This window comes from Homo sapiens, chromosome 2, assembly GCF_000001405.40.
Source record: "Homo sapiens chromosome 2, GRCh38.p14 Primary Assembly".
Lineage (NCBI taxonomy): Eukaryota > Metazoa > Chordata > Mammalia > Primates > Hominidae > Homo > Homo sapiens.
The window spans coordinates 10,662,735-10,682,697 of record NC_000002.12 but is presented as its reverse complement, the minus strand read 5'-3'; the positions used below and the strand labels follow the sequence as shown (position 1 = coordinate 10,682,697).

The 19,963-nt window shown below is 39.2% G+C and overlaps 1 protein-coding gene across 12 annotated transcripts in view; it reads left to right on the top strand.

Moving 5' to 3' along the window:
- The window catches only part of NOL10 (nucleolar protein 10), a 119,222-nt gene that overhangs the window by 7,278 nt on the left and 91,981 nt on the right, over positions 1-19,963 (top strand). For 10 of the 12 annotated variants that reach the window (NR_048552.2, XR_007082254.1, XR_007082293.1 and 7 more), the window contains 7 exons: positions 629-727; positions 6,827-6,904; positions 9,141-9,178; positions 11,008-11,144; positions 13,975-14,040; positions 15,420-15,480; positions 19,654-19,739. Coding sequence is in view for 8 of the 12 variants with exons in the window: in NM_001261394.2 (NP_001248323.1) it covers positions 629-727; positions 6,827-6,904; positions 9,141-9,178; positions 11,008-11,144; positions 13,975-14,040; positions 15,420-15,480; positions 19,654-19,739 (565 nt within the window). In the remaining 4 variants the exon portion in view is untranslated. Of the gene's footprint in view, positions 1-628; positions 728-6,825; positions 6,905-9,140; positions 9,179-11,007; positions 11,145-13,974; positions 14,041-15,419; positions 15,481-19,653; positions 19,740-19,963 lie in introns of those variants that run through there. The other 2 variants (NM_001261392.2, XM_047445893.1) reach the window with 2 other exon arrangements.

The following is a 19,963-nucleotide window of genomic DNA, read 5'->3' as shown; positions in this document are numbered from 1 at the left end:
CCCAGTGCGGTGGCTCACTCCTGCAATCCCAGAAGTTTGGGAGGCTGAAGTGTGAGGATTGCTTGGCCCTAGAAGTTTGAGACCAGCCTGGGCAACGTGGCGAAACCCCATCTCTACAAAAAATACAAAAATACCTGGGTGCAGTGGCATGCGCCTGTAGTCCTAGCTATTTGGGGGGGCTGAGGTGTGAGGATCGCTTCAGCCCGGGAGGTTGAGGCTGCAGTGAGCCATGATTGTGCCACTGCACTCCAGTCTGGGTGACAGAGTGAGACCCTGTCTCAAAAAAAAAAAAAAAAAAGTGGTTTAATGTTTATGCTCTTCCTCCTGTAACACTGGATGTTTGATACACTGTTGTGGAAAATTTTTTTTCAATTAATGATGCTACTTTTTTTATTCTTGAAAAGTAAAAATGAAATACTTAGCTTAGAAAAACAACGTATGAGCTAAGGAAAAAACCTCTGCTGTTTAATGGTTGGGCTGTGCTGGTGACCTTTCCCAAGGCCAGGAAGCATTTGGGATGAATTTCACCTGTTTATAGTTGTGGTGACTGCTTGGTACCCATTTGTCTTCTTATGATAGAGAATAAGCACATGTTAGTTAAACTAGTTGTTTTTTTCTCTCTTTTTAGATGTCCGTAGGAGAATTGAACTTATTCAGGACTTTGAAATGCCTACTGTGTGTACCACTATTAAGGTGTCAAAAGATGGACAGTACATTTTAGCAACTGGTAAGCATCTTTTTGGTTATGATTTTCATGCATTTTGTACCAGGAAATGCTGCGATGGGAAAGGTCTTTTTTTTTTTAACCCTAATATTTTATTATAAAAAATTTCAAACACACAGAAATATTGAAAAAATTGTATAGTAAACACCCATTTAACTACTACCTAAATTCTGCAATAAATAGTTTACTCTGCAGTATTTGATTTATCCCATGCATCTGTCTCTTTGTTCATGTATCAGTCCATCTTGTTTCTTTGATGCATTTCAGTGTAAGTTGAAGATACCAGTATACTTCACCCTGAAACACTTCAGCAAGTATATCATTAGCTGGAGTTCAATATTTATCAGTATTTACTTATAGCCTTTTTCAAGGTAAAAACATTTATATTGGTGAAATGCACAGATCCTAAGTTTACCATTTGGTTAGTTTTGACAAATGCACACGCTTGTGTAACTCAAAGCTCTATCAAGATACAGAACATTTTTTTCCTGCAGAAAATTTCTCCCACCCATGCAGAGACAACCATTGCTGATTTTTTTTCAATATAGACAAGTTTAGCCTGTTTCAGAACTTAATATAAATGTAGTCATACACTGTATATTCTTTCTCTGTGAGACTTATTTCATGTAGGATTTTGTATTTGAGGTTCATACATGTTGTTATATGTGTCAATAGCTTCTTTTTTTTTTTTATTACCAAAAGATATTTCATTCTATGACTAAGCCACAGTTTATTTACCCATTCTCCATGTGATGAACAGCTAGGCTGTTTTCATTCAGGTTTTTGGCTGTTACTAATAAAGCACTATGAACAATCGTATAGAAGTCTGTTTTGTGGGTATAAGCTTTCATGTCTTTGGTGAATACCTAGGAGTGGAATTTTTGAGTCCTAGGTAGGTGTATGTTTAGTGTTCTGGGAAACTTCTAAGTCGTTCCCCAAAGTGATCATATCATTTGCACTCCTACTAACAATGAATGAGAGTTTTAGGAAAGGTCACTTATAACATGATTTTCTGTATAATGTACTAATTTTTAAAAATATCTCTAAGATTTTACATTAACAGTATTTATCGTTATCAAAAAATCATGAAATGTAGAAAACTTTTAGTGTGTTGGAGTGTTGAACAGTATCACCCAACCTTTAGTGGTTGTGATTTTGGCGCGTAAGTCCTGTATATTGTCCAAACATTTTTTGCTGATAACAGTATTCCTTTTCCAACCACTTTCTTTTTGGTAATACCTTTTATACATACACAGGCCAGTCTCTTTTGCTTTGTGTTAATGATTATCTCAGTACTAACTAACACTATCTACATCTCTTAGCCTTCAGTTTTATGTTCAGAAACTGGTAAAAAGAATTGAGGAAATCTAAGATACATGGACACCCTTACTGAAGACTAGAAGAAACTCAAATTTTCTTCATTTTATAGATCCAGAGATATTAAGTGACTTGTCTAGGCTCACAGATCTAGTACTTAAGAAAGCTAGGATATAGATTTGTTAAATGACACTTTCTTTTATGAAATCGTCCTCTATTCCCATGCAAAATTAATGGTTCCTTTTCTCCTTCTCCTCCCTCTCCCTCTCCCTCTTCTCCCTCTCCCTCTTCTCCCTCTCCCTCTTCTCCCTCTCCCTCTTCTCCCTCTCCCTCTTCTCCCTCTTCTCCCTCTTCTCCTTCTTCTCCTTCTTCTCCTTCTTTTTTAAGAGTCTCACTCTGTCACCCAGTCTGGAGTGCAGTGGCATGATTTTGGCTGACTGCAACCTCCGCCTTCCGGGTTCAAGCGATTCTCCTGTGTCAGTCTCCTGAGTAGCTGGGACTACAGGTGCTCGCCACCACACCCGGCTAATGTCTGTATTTTTTTAGTAGAGACAGGGTTTCACCATGTTGGCCAGGCTGGTCTCGAACTCCTTGCCTCAAGTGATCCGCCCAACTCGCCCTTCCAAAGTGCTGGGATTATAGGTGTGAGCCACTGCGCCTGGCCTAATGGCTTTCCTTCTTATTCAGAATGCCTCGGTTTTATTTTATCTTAAAAATATTTAATAAATAATATGTGGGCTGGGCGGGGTGGCTCACACCTGTAGTCCCAGCACTTTGGGAGGCTGAGGCAGTCAGATTGCATGAGGCCAGGAGTTCGAGACCAGCCTGCCCAACATGGTGAAATCCTGTCCCTATAAAAAATAAATTAGCTGGGCATGGTGGCGTGGACCTGTAATTCCAGCTACTTGGAGGCTGAGGCATGAGAATCGCTTGAACCCATGTGGCGGAGGTTGCAGTAAGCCAGGATCGCGCCACTGCGCTCCACCCTGGGCAACAGAGCGAGACTCTGTCTCAAAGAAAGAAAGAAAGAGAGAGAAAGAGAGAGAAAGAGAGGAAGGAGAGAGGAAAGAAAAAGGAAAGAAAGAAAAAGGAAAGAAAGGAAGAAAGAATGTGAAACATGGTAGTGAGACTGAGGAACTGAATTTTTTTATTTTTATTTTTTTTGAGACAGGGTTTCACTCATTGTAACCTTGAACTTATGGGCTCAAGCCATCCTCCTTCCTCAGCTTCCTGAGTGGCTAGAAATATAGGTGCTCGCCACTATGCCTTGCTAATGAAATTTTTTTTTTTTTTTTTTGAGGCAGAGTTTCACTCTTGTTGCCCAGGTTGGAATGCAGTGGTGCCATCTTGGCTTACCGCAACCTCTGCCTCCTGGGTTCAAGTGATTCTCCTGCCACAGCCTCCTGAGTAGCTGGGATTACAGGCATGCACCACCACGCCCGGCTAATTTTGTATTTTTAGTAGAGATGGGGTTTCTTCATGTTGGTCAGGCTGGTCTTGAACTCCCAAACTCAGGTGATCCGCCCACCTCAGCTTCCCAAAGTGCTGGGATTACAGATGTAAGCCACCGCACCCGGCCAAAAAAAATATTTTTTAAATGGAGATGGGGTCTCAGTATTTTGCCCACATTGGTCTCAAACTCCTGGACTCAAGCAGTTGTCCGCCTGTCTCTCAAAGTGCTGGGATTATAAGCATGAGCCACGGCACCCAGCTGGAATCTTAAATTTAATTTGATTTTAATTCATTTTAACTTAGCCTCACATTACTAGTGGCTGCCATATTGGACAGCACAATTGTAGAGTCCAGAGTCCTGGTTTGACTTTCCTAGAGGCCTTTTTCTGGTATTGGTAGGGGAAATGGAGTTGGAATGTCACTTGCTTCTCCATTTAATTTGGTAGAGGTTTTTCTTTCAATCTCGGTATCTATCCCTACTTCTTTCTCAGATTCCCTTTGGTGTTCTAGGCCTTGTGGCTAAAAAGTTGAGTAAGATTGGCCCTGAAGACCTTTCATTCTGGTTGGGGAAATAGATTATCTAAGGGAATGAACTCAGGGGATGTGCAAAGTATTGATTTGTTACGGAAGTGACTGGCCTCTTGATTCCTTTTGGAAGCATTGGGTTTATGATCATGCCAGATTCAAACCTATCCTTAGTGGTTGTGTTAATTTTTTCTGTTACTTGGGGATGAAAGATAAGAAATAGAGGCTCTACTTTTATTAGTGTTTTTTTTTTTTTTTACCACTTTTTTCCCCTAGTGGCCAAAGTAATACTTGTAAGCCTTTCAAAGAACATAGCAATAAAAAACAGCAGGGTACACAGTAGCTCATGCCTATAATCCCTGCACTTTGGGAGGCTGAGGCAGGAGGATTAATTGAGGCCAGGAGTTCAAGACCAGCTTGAGCAACACAGCAAGATCCTGTCCCTACAAAAAATAAAAAAAAAATTAGCTGAAAGTGGTGGTGTGCACCTGTAGTGTCAGCTACTCACGAGGCAGAGGCAGGAGGATTGCCTGAGCCTAGCAGTTTGAGGTTACAGTGAGCTATGATTGCACCACTGTGCTCCAACCTGGGCAACAGCGAGACCCTGTCTCTAAAAAAAATTAAAGCCCCAAAAACAAACGACAGTGGAATAAAGGTCCTGGCTATATTAAAAGTTTTATGTATAGCCTTTCAAATTATGTGTGTGTGTGTGTGTGTGCACATAAAATTATGTGTGTATATATATGTATCTGTCTATATGGATATATATGTACACACACATATATACACACGCATATATATGTGTATACACACACACACACACACACACACACACACACAAATGTATTAAAATTATTGCCATACGACAGTGGGCTCATATTTACTGGTTTTAAACTTCTCTTTTTTAAGCTGGGTGCGGTGGCTCACGCCTGTAATTCCAGCACTTTGGGAGGCTGAGGTGGGTGGATCACTTGAGCCCAGGAGTTTGAGACCAGCCTGGGCAACGTGGTGAAACCCCATCTTTACAAAAAATACAAAAATTACACAGTCGTGATGGCAGGCGCCTCTTGGTCCCCACTACTTGGGAAGCTGAGGTGGGAGGATCACTGGAGCCCAGGGCGGTTGAGGTTGCATTGAGCTGTGATTGCACCTCTGTGCTCCAGCCTGGTTGACAGAGTGAGACCCCATTTCAAAAAAGGAAAAAAAAAAAAAACACCAAAGAAAACCCCACAAAATAACCTTTTTTTTTTCTTTAAACGAAATCTTGGGTTTTGATCTATGCCAGAAAACAAAGGACTACCTCATTCTTTTATTTTTAAGATGTCTTTGTTGGAAATACATAACATAAAATATGAAAGTCTCCGAAATTGCACTTCACGGAGATAGACTATCATTGTGAAGTTAGTTCCTCCAACTTTTGCCTTACAAAGTGCCAAAGTTAGGCCAGGCATGGTGGCTAACTCCTGTAATCCCAGCACTTAGGCAGGCGGAGACAGGCAGATCACCTGAACTCAGGAGTTCAAGACCAGCCTGGCCAACATGGTGAAACCCCATCTCTACTAAAAATACAAAAATTAGCCAGATGTGGCGGCAGGCACCTGTAATCCCAGCTACTTGGGAGGCTGAGGCAGGAGAATCACTTGAATCCAGGCAGCAGAGGTTGCAGTGAGCTGAGATTACTCCTCTGCACTCCAGCCTGGGCGACAGAGCAAGACCCCATTTCAAAGAAAAAAAAAAAAAGAGGCCGGCCTCGATGGCTCATGTCTGTAATCCCAGCACTTTGGGAGGCCAAGGTGGGTGGATCACCTGAGGTCAGGAGTTCGAGACCAGCCTGACCAACATGGTGATACCCCGTCTCTACTAAAAATACAAAAATTAGCTGGGCATCATGGCCTGCACCTGTAATCCCAGCTACTCAGGGGGCTGAGGCAGGAGAATAGCTTGAACCTGGGAGGCGGAGGTTGCAGTGAGCCGAGATCACGCCATTGCACCCCAGTCTAAATGACAGAATGAGACTCTGTCTCAAAAAAAAAAAAAAAAAGACAAAGTGCCAAAGTTACCATTTCATTGTACAAAATTGGGATCGTATTATATGGATCATTCTCCAGCACTCACCTGTGCTCCCCCTGTACTTTTACTTTATAGTACGTTTTGGCAGCTTTCCATGTCAATGGTTACTACTGAGGTCTGCCTCATCCACTTTATGGGCTATGTAATATTCCCTTGTGTGGATTTATTGTCATTTATTCAACTATTTTCCTGTCAGTGGACATTTTATTGCTTTCAGTTGCTGACCATTTATAAATAATGCTGCAGTGAACATTCTTAATATCTTTGGCAGGCTTGTGGATATATTTCTGTGAGTTCAATTTATGTAAGTTGAAATATAGATTGAAAGTATGGAAACATCGTGTGTTTTTAGGGATTGTCCTTCAAAGAAGTTGTATCAATTGTATACTAATCAACAACAGTATAGGGGAATATTTTATACTTTCACCAACACAGATATTAACCGTTTTTTAATCTTTGCCATTCTGGTGGACAAAACTGTTTCATTGTTTGCATGTATTTTGTTAGATTACTTGTAGGTTTCTTAGTTATTTTGTTTGGTTTTCTATGACTTGCTTGTTTAGCTTTTGCTCAGTTTTTCCTTGGGGTGTTTGAGAGGGGCTGCTTTTACATTCCTTTCTTTTGATTTGGTTACAATTAATCCTGCCTGTCTCTGAACAAGAAGTACACTCAATGTATCTGGATGTTTTGACTATGAAAGTATGTCTTTAGGTTTTACATCACATTAATTTTTTGTAGGAACATATAAACCTCGGGTTCGATGTTATGACACCTATCAATTATCCTTGAAGTTTGAAAGGTGTTTAGATTCAGAAGGTGAGTAAAAAGCTAAATTTGAATTCATGAAAATGGCTTTTTATGTTGTCTGCTTTTCTGGTTTTAAAATGAGAATGGTTTGTAATTAGTTTTTTATTGCTGTATAACAAATTACTGTACTACAATCCCGATGGCTTAAAACATCCATTTAGTAGCTCACAGTTGTGTAGATCTTAAGTCTATGCAGGTTCTGTGCTCAGACAGGAGGTCAGGGTGTTGACCAGGTGGAGCTCTGACTTGGAGGTGCTGGGCAAGAATATGCTTCCACGTGTTAGTTTGTAGTTCTTTTAGAATTGACTGGCAGCTTTTCTTGTTTTCAGAGAATGCACCCCCCCCAAACCCCCAAAATAATAAAAAATAAAAAAGAATTTGCTTCCAAATACACTCAGGTTGTTGTCAGAATTCAGTTTGTTGTGGTTATAGGATTGTGGTTCCCATTTCCTTCTGGCTGTCAGCTGGGGGCCACTCTAGGCTTCTAGAGGCTGCATGCATTTCTCATCACACACTCACCTCCACCTTCAAGCCAGCAACAGCTCATCAGATCCTCCCTGTATTTCTTTTCTTTCTTTTATTTATTTATTTATTACTTTTTTAAAGAGATAGGGTCTTGTTGCCCAGGCTGGAGTGCTGTGGCATGATCATAGTTTACTGTAGCCTTGAACTCCTGGGCTCAAGTGATCCTCCTACCTTAGCCTCCCAAGTAGCTAGAACTACAGATGTGAACCACCATGCCCCACTAATTTTATAATTTTTTGTAGAGATGGAGTCTAGCCATGTTGCCCAGGCTGGTCTCAAGCTCCTGGCCTCAGCCGTCCTTTTGCTTTGGTCTCCCACAGTACTGGAATTCCAGGCATGAGCCACTGCACCCAGCCCCTTGTGTTTTGGATCTCTCTGACTTTTTCTTCTGCTGCCAGCCAGAGAAACTCTGCTTTTATTTATTTACTTATTTATTTTTTGGAGACGGAGTCTTGCTCTGTCGCCCAGGCTGAAGTGCAGAGGCACAATCTTGGCTCACTGTAAACTCCACCTCCCAGATTGAAGTGATTCTCCTGCCTCAGCCTCCTAAGTGGCTGGGATTACAGGCGCACTTTACCACACCCAGCTAATTTTGGTATTTTTAGTAGAGATGGGTTTCACCATGTTGGTCAGGCTGGTCTCGAACTCCTGACCTCGTGATCCACCCGCCTCGACCTCCCAAAGTGCTGGGATTACAGGCATGAGCCACTGCGCCCAGCTGAAACTCTGCTTTTAAAGGGCTCATATGATTATAAATCTCCCCTTTGCCATAGAATGTAATGTAATCATGGGAGCAATGTCTTATCAATTCACAGTTTCTACCCACACTCTCAAGGGAAGGGGGTTATACGAGGGTAAAGGTCACTGGGGGTCATTCTTAGAATTTTGAATGGCACTGAAGTCAAGTTAAAATGGGAAAGTTCAAGTGCTTTTATCAGTTGGCCTAGAATTTGGGATTGAGGGGAAAGGAGTTAATGGGATATGTGGTCTGTGGAATTATATGCATAGTCTCCCAACTTGTTTCACCCTTTGTTGTTTTTTTTTTTATTTTTACTTTTTAGAAACAGGATCTTTTTCTGTCACCCAGGCTGGAGTGCAGTGTTATGATCACAGCTCACTGCAGCCTCAACTACCCAGGCTCAAGAGATCCTCCTACCTCCGCCTCCCAAATAGCTGGGATCACAGGCATGCACCACCATGTCTGGCTAATTTTTTTTCTGTTTTTTTTTTTCTTTCCCATAGTGATAGGGTCTTACTATATCTTTGTTTATTGAAAACAATAGAAACTCTGTGTGCCACTAATAATGGCTATTTTTCGCTCTTTTTCTTTATCAGGTAGACTATGAATGGGTAAAAAATGACATCTTTTTTGTTAAGCAACAATTTTTTTGTTCTTTAATGTATATTTGAAAGTCTTTAAAATTATTTTGTTTTCAACATCTCAGAGTGTCAGAATTTAGAAGTCATTATATTTTGTGAATTTGCATTCAGTTCTACAAGAAATCTAGTTGATGTGTATTGAGAAATTATGAGGCTTTTAAGTTTTTGTTGGTGTTTTGGGACAATATACTATGACAATTTTCTTCTTGTTTCACGTAGAGGCAGAAAAAAACTGGTATGTATATAATTTCTGTGTTGAATTAGAATCTTTGCATCAGGTTTGCGTTGTTACTAAGAATATTGTTTGATAATTGTATTTTTCCTATTTCTTGTTTTTCAGTTGTCACCTTTGAAATTTTGTCTGATGACTACTCAAAGGTATGTTTTATAGCATTGGTTTGTACTGACTAGACCCAAGAAATGAGTGAGTGGAATTTATTTTAATGATAAGCAGTTTTATAATATTTTTATTGTTAAACTAAAATGGCTGTGTAGTTCTATTGTTAAACAAAAATGGCTGTGTAGTAAAATGTAACCCATCATTTTTTATTAATATTAATACAGTGATACGGATAGCCTTTGGCCAATCTAATATCAAAGGTAATTTTTCATATCGTATATGAAACCTTATTTGTATTTTTAAGAATTGGCAGCAGTCATCTTTTATATCATCCTGTATTCTAGATTTGTGATTCTGATTATTACGTTTAACCTAGATTTATTTGCCAGGTTGCTTTCATTTTCTTATTTATATGTGAAATGTAAACTAGCAGGGTTGTGTGTTTAATTTTTTTTTAACTTTGCAAATGGTTGTGGTATATTCTGAAACAGTTCAAAATATAGCTAAGTAGATTTATTTCTCTTTTTTGGTGCCATTAGTCCATCTTTCAACTCTTTTTTTTTGGAGACAGGGCCTTGCTCTGTCACCCAGGCCGGAGGGGCAGTGGCGTAATTTCAGCTCATTGCAGCATCAGCCTCCCGAGTTCAAGTGATTCTCCTGCCTCTGCCTCCTGAGTAGCTGGAACTACAGGCATGTGCTTCCACACCTGGCTAATTTTTGTGTTTTTAGTGGAGATATGGTTTTACCAGGTTGGCCAGGCTGGTCTCAAACTCTTGACCTCAAGTGATCCACCTGACTTGGCCTCCCAAAGTGTTGGGATTACAGGCGTGAGCAACTGCCCCCGACCCATCTTTCAACTCTTATAATCACTTTCAACAATTATAAAATTGTCAGTAAACTCTTGAATTTAAAATGAAACATTTTTAGTGATGTCAAATGGCATCTTGAAAGAAAATTGAATTTTCTTAGCTGACATGGCTTTATATTTTCAGTTTTGGAAACTATGGGGTACAGCTTATCCTTTTGTCTATGGTATCATTTATCATACGTTTTGGAACATGTCATTTTAGAATGTATTTTCTCTAAATACTGACAAATTTGCCTTTAAATACCATCTGTTGATGTTTAAGATACCCCTTTAGTACACTAAAGTCAAATGTATACAAGGAGTTTATCATAACTTGTGTGATAATGGTGGGATTATTATTATTTTTTGTTTTTTATTTTTTGAGACAAGAGTTTCACTCTTGTTGCCCAGGCTGGAGTTCAACGGCACAATCTCGGCTCACTGCATCCTCCGGCTCCTGGGTTCAAGCGATTTTCCTGCCTCAGCCTCCTGAGTAGCTGGGATTACAGGCATGCGCCACCATGCCCAGCTAATTTTGTGTTTTTAGTAGAGATGGGGTTTCTCCATGTTGGTCAGGCTGGTCTCAAGCTCCCTACCTCAGGTGACCCACCCGCCTTGTCCTCCCAAAGTGCTGGGATTACAGGTGTGAGCCACCATGCCCGGCCAGGATTATTTAAATGTGTTCCCAAGTGAAAGAGGGAACTGATCATTGAGGGTACCATGAGAGTGCTCTATGTTATGACATGCTGGTGCCATGTAAATGAAGGGCGTTTGTTTCAAGTCTTTAATTAGTATGTAAGGTTTGCAGAAAAGCTATCAGGATACAGGAAGGCATTAAGGAGCCGATGGAGTGTTTTCATTCTTAATCCCAGTGGAGTGTGTGTGCATGGACATGTGTGTTTAGATACAGAAAGTGAGAGAGAGGTAAGGGTTTTCCTTGGTTTGCCAGTTTTTTAGCGATAATGAAGTAAACACCTAACTAGAAACCTAAGCAAACTAATTTTTTTGTTTTATTTTCAGATTGTCTTCTTACATAATGATAGATACATTGAATTTCATTCGCAATCAGGTTTTTACTACAAAACCAGAATACCAAAGTTTGGGAGAGATTTCTCTTACCACTATCCATCCTGTGACTTGTACTTTGTTGGTGCAAGGTATTGGATCCAGTCCCTTTTTCTCCTTTTCACCTCCTAAAACAACCAACTTCTGTTCCTAAATTTCGTGTACATTTTCTCTGTTTAGGTAACTTGCTTTAATAAAAAAGTGATACGTGGCTCTTGTAAAAAAAAAAAAAAAAAGAAAAGAAAACACAGGATAGGCAAAAAATTCTATTTTCTACATATTGGTTTACTTATAAGTACCATATACTGTTTTAACAACTGTTGTTTTGCTTAATACAATATTTTCTAATGTTAAAAATATCTGTGATAGTTATGTGCCTCATTGGGAAATACTGATGGGAAGTGTGTGAGCCTTTTCAGTTTAGCCCGGTTGCCACAATTTATGAGACATAGTATTGTTTTATTTATCTGTTTATCTTCTAGACTTTTGTCTCGACCTTAAGTTTGCTTCATGTCAGTAATCAGTTTCTATCTGATCACTTTGTGATTAATAGGTCATATGTGGTTATGGACTCTAGTTTAAAAAAATTGGGAGAGGGTTTTATTGTTATTATTTTTGGTAATTTGATAGTTTGATTTAATTTGATTTGCATGAAATGACAAAAGCATTTAAAGCATCTTTCATTATGTAGTTGATGTCCTACATTAAACAGTCTACTAAATTCTGAACAAAAGTTTATTAGCAAGTTTTCAAAAATTTAAAAAACAGTTGTTTCAAAACCATTAAGTAGTAAATGTATTTAAGAAACTAATTAGGACAGATGTCATAACTTTAGAACACCACTACCTACCCATGTCTTTTTGTTTTGTTTTTTCTGTTTTTTTTGTTTGTTTGTTTCATTTTCTTTTTTTGAGAGGGAGTCTCACACTGTCACCCAGGCTGCAGTGCAGTGGTACGATCTTGGCTCACTGCAACCTCTGCCTCCCAGGTTCAAGTGATTCTCCAGCCCCAGCCTCCTGAGTAGCTGAGACTATGGGCGCCTGCCACCATGCCCAGCTAATTTTTGTATTTTTAGTAGAGGCGATGTTTCACCTTGTTGGCCAGGCTGGTCTCGAACTCCTGACCTCAGGTGATCCACCCACCTCGGCCTCCCAAAGTGCTGGGAGTACAGACATGAGCCACGGTGCCCGGCCCTGTTTTGTTTTGTTTTTAACAAAGCAATTAGTGTATCTTTTTGGCTATTAGTATTAGCAATTTATTTACAATATTTAACGAGATAAATTGTAGGCAAAAATTCAGTACAATTTCAATAGAAATATCCCTTTTTTTTCCCCTGAAAATACAGCAGTATTTGAAGGACTAATTTCTTTAAAGAAGAATAAGACATGATCTTTGCTTTTAAGTTGCTGAAAGTGAAGGTATAATTCCTACATGTGACTCATTTAGGAGTGATATCTTTGGCTTCTGTTAGTATGGTGCTAAATTTGGAGATAGACATGTATAATCTAGTTGATAAAGTCAGTTTCTTAGCCCTATTGCACAGTATTTCAAAACTTTTTATTCTAAGTACCTTTTTGGTTTTATTATTAGTTTTTTATAAAGATGGGGTCTCACTATGTTTCCCAGGCTGGTCTTGAATTCCTGGGCTCAAAAGATCCTCTTGCTTTGGCCTCACAAAATGTTGGGATTACAGGTGTGAGCTACTGTACCTGGCCTTTATTATTATTATTATCATTATTATTATTATTATTATTTGAGATGGAGTCTCGCTCTGTCGCCAGGCTGGAGTGCAGTGGTGCAATCTCCACTCACTGTAACCTCCACCTCCCAGGTTCAAGCGATTCTCCTGCCCCATCCTCCCGAGTAGCTGGGATTACAGGCATGCGCCGCCACGCCCAGGTAATTTTTGTATTTTTAGTAGAGACAGGGTTTCACCATATTGGCAAGGATGGTCTCGGTCTCTTGACCTCGTGATCCGCCCACCTCAGCCTCCCAAAGTGTTGGGATTACAGGCGTGAGCCACCGCTGCCCAGCCCTGTGTTATTTTTATGGTCATCAAAAAGGTAGCATTTGACCAGGTATTTGACTGGTGGCTATTATGTTTGTGTGTGTGTGTGTGTGTGTGTGTGTGTATATATGTGTGTGTGTATGTGTGTGTGTGTGTATATATATATATATAAAAAATAAAAATATATATATATATACAAATACATACCCATTTTAGAAAATTGGGAAAATATAGAAAAGAAAAAATTCAGGCTGGGCATGGTGGCTCATGCTTGTAATCCAGCACTTTGGGAGGCTGAGGTGGGCAGATCACCTGAGGTCAGGAGTTCAAGACCAGCCTGGCCAACATGGTGAAACCTCGCCTCTACTAAAAATACAAAAAAATAGTTTGAGACCAGCCTGGCCAACATGGTGAAACCCTGTCTCTACTAAAAATACAAAAAATTAGCCGGGTGTAGTGAGTGGCGCCCGTGAGCTGAGATTGCGCTATTGCACTCCAGCCTGGGCAATAAGAGCAAAACCCCATATCAAAAACAAAAAAACAAAAAAAAAGAAAAAATTCAGCCATAATTACACCACCCAGAGAGGATCCTTATTATATTTCCTTCTAGTCCTTTCTTATATACATATGTAGATACATTACATATACTTTTGGATCTTGTATTCTCCATCTTATTTGTAAATAGTATTCTACGTAATGACTTCATATTTCCTTGGCACATGAATGGTTTAAATCACTTTTATACATGAACAAATTCATAAAGTGGATATTTTTCAGATTTAGAATACGTTTTTGTATCAGTGTTACAAAAGGAAGTGGTGGCTTATGAGTAATATATATATTTATAAAATTTATATTTACTTAAAGTTTCATTGTAGTTTAGCAGGTTTTTAACTTTCTTTATTACTTTACAGTTCTGAAGTTTATAGGTTAAACTTAGAACAAGGACGATACCTGAATCCTCTACAAACTGATGCTGCGTGAGTAGTTTTAGTAATTCTGCTATATACATTTTGACCAGGAGGTGGAGCCAGATGCTCAGTTTGTTAACAAGTAACATAAACTATTGCAATTAAGCAAAACTCCCAGCAACTTAGTTAAAAAGTACTGTTGAATTTATTCTCAGACAAAAAATTCACTGAAAGATCTGGTGATTACTTTAAAAATTAAATGAAAGCTTTTTTTCATCTACTCAACTTTAAGTCAGTTAAAAATACTCAGTTTATTATTATTACTTGTAGTGTTCTTTAAATTTACATTCATGGTTTTGTTTTGTGATATTTTCTCCTGTGGAGAACTTTTGAATTAATTTGGAGTGCCATTTTTAAATTTTTATGCTCTGCTAGCGGACATTTAAGGTTTTTAAAGGTTTCCTTTTATCATACATTATAGTCTACACATATGTACTATGCAGCAAAAATTTTTAGGAATGAATCCATCATCATCATCATCACAACAAATAATAGTGATAAACACAGTAGGAAAGCACTTTGTGCCAGGTGTTATTCAGTCATTTTACCTTTATTATCTCATTTTAAACTTAGAACAGATTTTTGTGGTAAGTACCATTTTACAGATAGGGCAGCTGAGGCTCAGAGAGGTAAGTAGTTTGCCCAAGGCCACACAACTAGTCAAGGGTGGAAGCTGGATTACTTCTCATTGTGTATATGAAGAGCTTGCTGAATTTCTCGTATTGCTTTGAGAGGATTTTTAAAGGTTAGGTGAACATGTTGTGATAAGAACCAAATAAACTCTAATTTTTTTTTATTTCACATTGGGTAGAAATGCTTTTATTTTTATTAAAAAAAAAACTTGTAGTAGTAACTTCACAAATGCATTATATTGAGTGTCCTCTGTACCCCAGATACTGCTGAACGCTTTGCAGTCTTTTTCATTTAATCCCCATAACAACCCCCCGAGGTAGGTGAAATATCCATTTTACAGAGAAAGAAAATGAGACTTAGAATGATGTACCCAGGACAAGCCTGTCAAGGCTCAGGATTGTCATGGTGATAGCGTGTGTTCTTTTAAGAATGTTACCTGCCTTGGAAGAAAATACCTTGAAAAATAGAGTGACCCTTTCTTCTCATGGTAGTGGAATAGTATTTCAGAAGGAAGTCCCTCCTTGTTTGTCACCTAGCAGGTAGAGTGTCACCCTGGGGATCAGAAACTCCAGTGACTGAGCCAAGCACTTAACCCTTTCATACCTTGGTGTTTTCCATTTGCAGATTAGTAAGAGAGAATCTGTGTGTCTTCTTTCTACTCAGAATTTGGGTTGACTGTTTATTTATTTAATATTCCTTCCCCACTAAAGTAGGTGCTAACTAATTCATTCTTTCTTACTGCTTTCCTGTGTTAGGGAGAATAATGTTTGTGACATAAATTCAGTGCATGGCTTGTTTGCCACAGGAACCATAGAGGTAAGCATATGTTGACTTTATTTTTTAGAATATTTGTTTTATATTTGATTGGAATTTTTATTTAAAGACTGAGTTGCTTGATTCCTTAGAGCAGGATGATAATGAGGTGATAGCTTGAACATCCTGTAGAGTAACATTCAGTAAATATTGAGATGAATGTACACAACATTTTTCTTTTAAATGATAATATCTTTGAATCAATGTCCTTCACACTTACCAATAGTTTTTTGTAGATTTGCATTTTTCACTTAAAATAATGATAAATACTCATAGTTTTAAAAAATGCAAATATGTCAGAAGCATGTAATTTTAAAAAGTGCCCTTTTATACCTTCCAGTCACCAAATCCTACACCCCAGAGGTAACACTTGAATGGTTTGGAGTAGTATCCTTTCAAATTTTTTTTCCTAAGTGCTATATGCCAATATGCATATGTGTACATACATATTTTTTAAAGTGGTTTACCAAACTGAAATTGTATTCTACTGTAGTTCTCCATTTGCTTTTTTTTTTTTAGACATAACAGTATATAATATACATCTTATTGGTACTTATAATTACTTACGATGCTAAACTAATTTTAAAAAAATTTACAGGCCAGGCGCAGTGGCTCACTAATCCTAGCACTTTGGGAGGCCAAGGCAGGCAGATTACTTGAGATCAGGAGTTTGAGACCAGCCTGGCCAATATGGCGAAACACCGTCTCTACTAAAAATACAAAAATTAGCCGGGTGTGGTGGCACACACCTGTAATCCCAGCTATTTGGGAGGCTGAGGCAGGGGGGCGGAGGTTGCAGTGAATGAAGATTGGGCCACTGCACTCCCGCCTGGGTGACAGAGCGAGACTCCGTCTCAAAAAAAAAAATGATAGTTTACAGATAGCATTCTGTTGTTTGTACTATAATTTATTAAACCAGTTTCATATGGATGGAATTAATGGTTTTTTTTTTACTCAAATTATTTTTATGTTGAGAGATTAATGCAGCCACAAAAAAGAATGAAAGAATGTTCTTTGCAGCAACATGGATGCAGCTGGAGGCTGTTACCCTAAGTGAATTAAGACAGGAACAGAAAACCAAATACTGCGTGTTCTCACTTATGAGTGGGAGCTAACCGTTGGGTACTCATGACCATAAAGATGACAACACTAGACACTGGGGATTACTGGATGGGGAAGGGAGGGAGGGAGGCAAGGGTTGAAAACTAACTGTTGGCTACCATGCTCACTGCCTGGGTGACGGGATCAGTCACACTGCAAACCTCAGCATTATGCAATATACCAGTGTAACAAACCTGCACGTACCCCCAGAGTCTAACAAAGAAGTTGAAGTTGTATTTTAAAAAAAGATTAATATTTGAAATGGGACACTAAGTTTGATCTGACAGATATTATGTAAAACTATGTTGAATGTGTTTGAATACTGTTATGTCTAAATCAAGCTTTCTCTTGGTAGTCAGGTTACTTGAGATTACCAAGGGGAAGTTTTACAAGAGTTTCCCTGAGAAAATAGTTTTTAGGGTCCTTACAGGGCAGTCTAGGCTAGACACCAGGCAATGTGCTAAGAGAAGTTATGTATTAGAACGTGCTGCTCTTCCAGCAGCTGGTTTAAGACCAGCCTAGGACATGTTGAAGGGATAGGAGGTAGGGATGCTCAAAGACTGGGCTTCCGGAAATTCCTTGATTATTAGCAGCTTGCAGTTTCATAAGCATAGTCAGATCAGGCTTAACAAATTCATTTTACATTGATTTTCATATTACATCTCAGATTTTAGTTTCTTCTTTAGTTCTTAGTTATCATAATATTGTCAAACTAAATGTTTGCATTTTGTGCTTTTTGAAGTGCCTAAGAGGGGAGGTTTGGCAATGGAAATATTCAAATTTAGGTAATAGAAAATCAGTGTGCTTAAAAATACATTTTGTATTTACACTGGAAGTTATCTGCATACCCATTTTGTGTTTTTGGAATGCAACTTTTCTTTTTTATGTCCATAAAATTTATTAACTCATTTTGAGAAGACATAGAAGACTAGACCATTTGGAATTACCTGCTGTAGTTTAAAAAGGTTTCCCTTCGATTATTCATCTTTGCAACATACCTACTTGTAATAATATTAAAAGATTAATGAGGTCAGAACCTCCTAAGTATATTGAAGGGTTTGCTTTTAAGGTAGTTAATATATTAAACAATCTTAAAACATCTTTGTTTATGTTTTTGTTTTATCATTACAAAATCAAATGATAGACAAGAACACAAAGTGAAAAGTGTAATTCCCTTCCACCCTGTCCTATTCCTGTTTCCTTAGGTAAATACTGTTAATAATTTGCTGTGTATCCTCTCAGGTTTTTCTGTTTGCACAAGCATTTTTTTAAAAACACAAATGTTGGCTGGGTGTGGTGGCTCACGTCCGTCATCCCAGCTCTTTGGAAGTGCGAGTGGGTGGAACGCTTGAGTCCAGGAGTTCGAGACCAGCCTGGGCAACATGGCGACACCTCTTCTCTACCAAAAATCCAAAAATTAGACAGGCGTGGTGCATACCATAGATGCAGCTACTGGGGAAGCTGAGGTGAGAGGATGGATTGAGCCTACAAGGTGGAGGCTGCAATACGCTGTGATTGTGCCCTGCACTCCAGCTGGGCGACTGAACAAGACCTTGTCTCAAACACACAAACAACGACCCCTCATTTAAAAAAGTAAATTGCTTTTTTGTGGACACAATTCTAGTACATGTATATTCACATCATTCTTTGTAATGGCTAATACTCAGTTTAAATGGACGTACTACAGTTTCTCCATTCTGTTTTTTTTTGAGACAGTCTTGCTTTGTTTCCCAGGCTGGACTCGGCTCACCGCAATGTCTGCCTCCCAGGTTCAAGCGATTCTCTTGCCTCAGGCTCCCGAATAGCTGGGATTACAAGCACCTGCCACCATGCCCAGCTAATTTTGTATTTTTAGTAGAGACGGGGTTTCACCATTGGCCAGGCTGGTCTCGAACTCCTGACCTCAGGTGATCCACCTACCTCGGCCTTCAAAAGTGCTGGGATTACAGGCATAAGCCACCATGCCCGGCCTGTTCTGTTTTTTTGGGTTTTTTTTTTTTTTAGACGGAGTCTCTCTCTGTTGCCTAGGCAGGAGTGCAGTGGCACGCTCAGCTCGCTGTAGCCTCTGCCTCCCGGGTTCAAGCAATTCTCCTGCCTCAGCCTCCTAGTGTGTGGGATTACGGGCATGCGCCACTATGCCTGGCTAATTTTGTATTTTTTTTTTTTTTGGAGACGGAGTCTCGCTCTGTCGCCCAGGCTGGAGTGCAGTGGTGCGATCTCGGCTCACTGCAAGCTCCAGCCTCCCGGGTTCATGCCATTCTCCTGCCTCAGCCTCCCAAGTAGCTGGGACTAAAAGCGCCCGCCACCATGCCCGGCTAATTTTTTGTATTTTTTAGTAGAGACTGGGTTTCACTGTGTTAGCCAGGATGGTCTCGATCTCCTGACCTCGTGATCTCCCCATCTTGGCCTCCCAAAGTGCTGGGATTACAGGCGTGGCCACCGCGCCTGGCCGGGATTCTTCTTTTCATTAAAAAAAATTTTCCCCAGCTTTTTATTTTTAAAAAGTTCACATCTTTGTAAAAGTTTAGTGATATATATATTTTGCATTTTCTTTTCCCATAAAAATGTACATGTATTAAAAATGTTTTTTGAACCTTTTGAAAATAAGTTGCAGGCATTATGATATTTCTTCCCTAAATACTTTAAAATGGATTTCTTAAAAATAAGGACTTTTTCTATGAAATAAACAATGTTAATGTGGTTTATTTTTGTATGTGTTTTAAGGATTTCTTAGCAGCTTTTTTTTTTTTTTTGAGACGAAGTCTTGCTCTGTCGCTCAGACTGGTGTGCAGTGGCATAATCTCGGCTCACTGCAACCTCCACCTCCCGGGTTCAAGCAGTTCTTCTGCCTTAGCCTCCCAAGTAGCTGGGATTACAGGCGTGCACCACATACCCAGCTAATTTTTTGTATTTTTAGTAGAAACAGAGTTTCGCCATGTTAGTCAGACTAGTCTCAAACTCCTGGCTTCAGGTGATCAGCCCGCCTCGGCCTCCCAAAGTGCTGGGATTACAGGCATGAGCCACCATGCCCCGCCTTCTACAGCTTTTATTTAAAATTGTTTTTCATTTGCATAGGGTAGAGTGGAGTGCTGGGACCCAAGAACTCGAAACAGAGTTGGCCTGTTAGACTGCGCCTTAAACAGTGTCACAGCAGATTCAGAGTAAGTAGAAATTAATTTGCAATGTAAATGTTCATCAACTTTTAATTTAAGTAATGTGTCTATATTAAATTCAAATAAATTGCTACAGGATATCTGAAATTGTACTTTCCATGATTGTTTTTCATAAAGATCCTCTCCTGTAAAAGCTCACTAGTGAGTAAGCCAGATAGAATTTCTTTCCAAAATACTATACAGAAGGCCTTATTTCTTTAGTTGCTGTACGA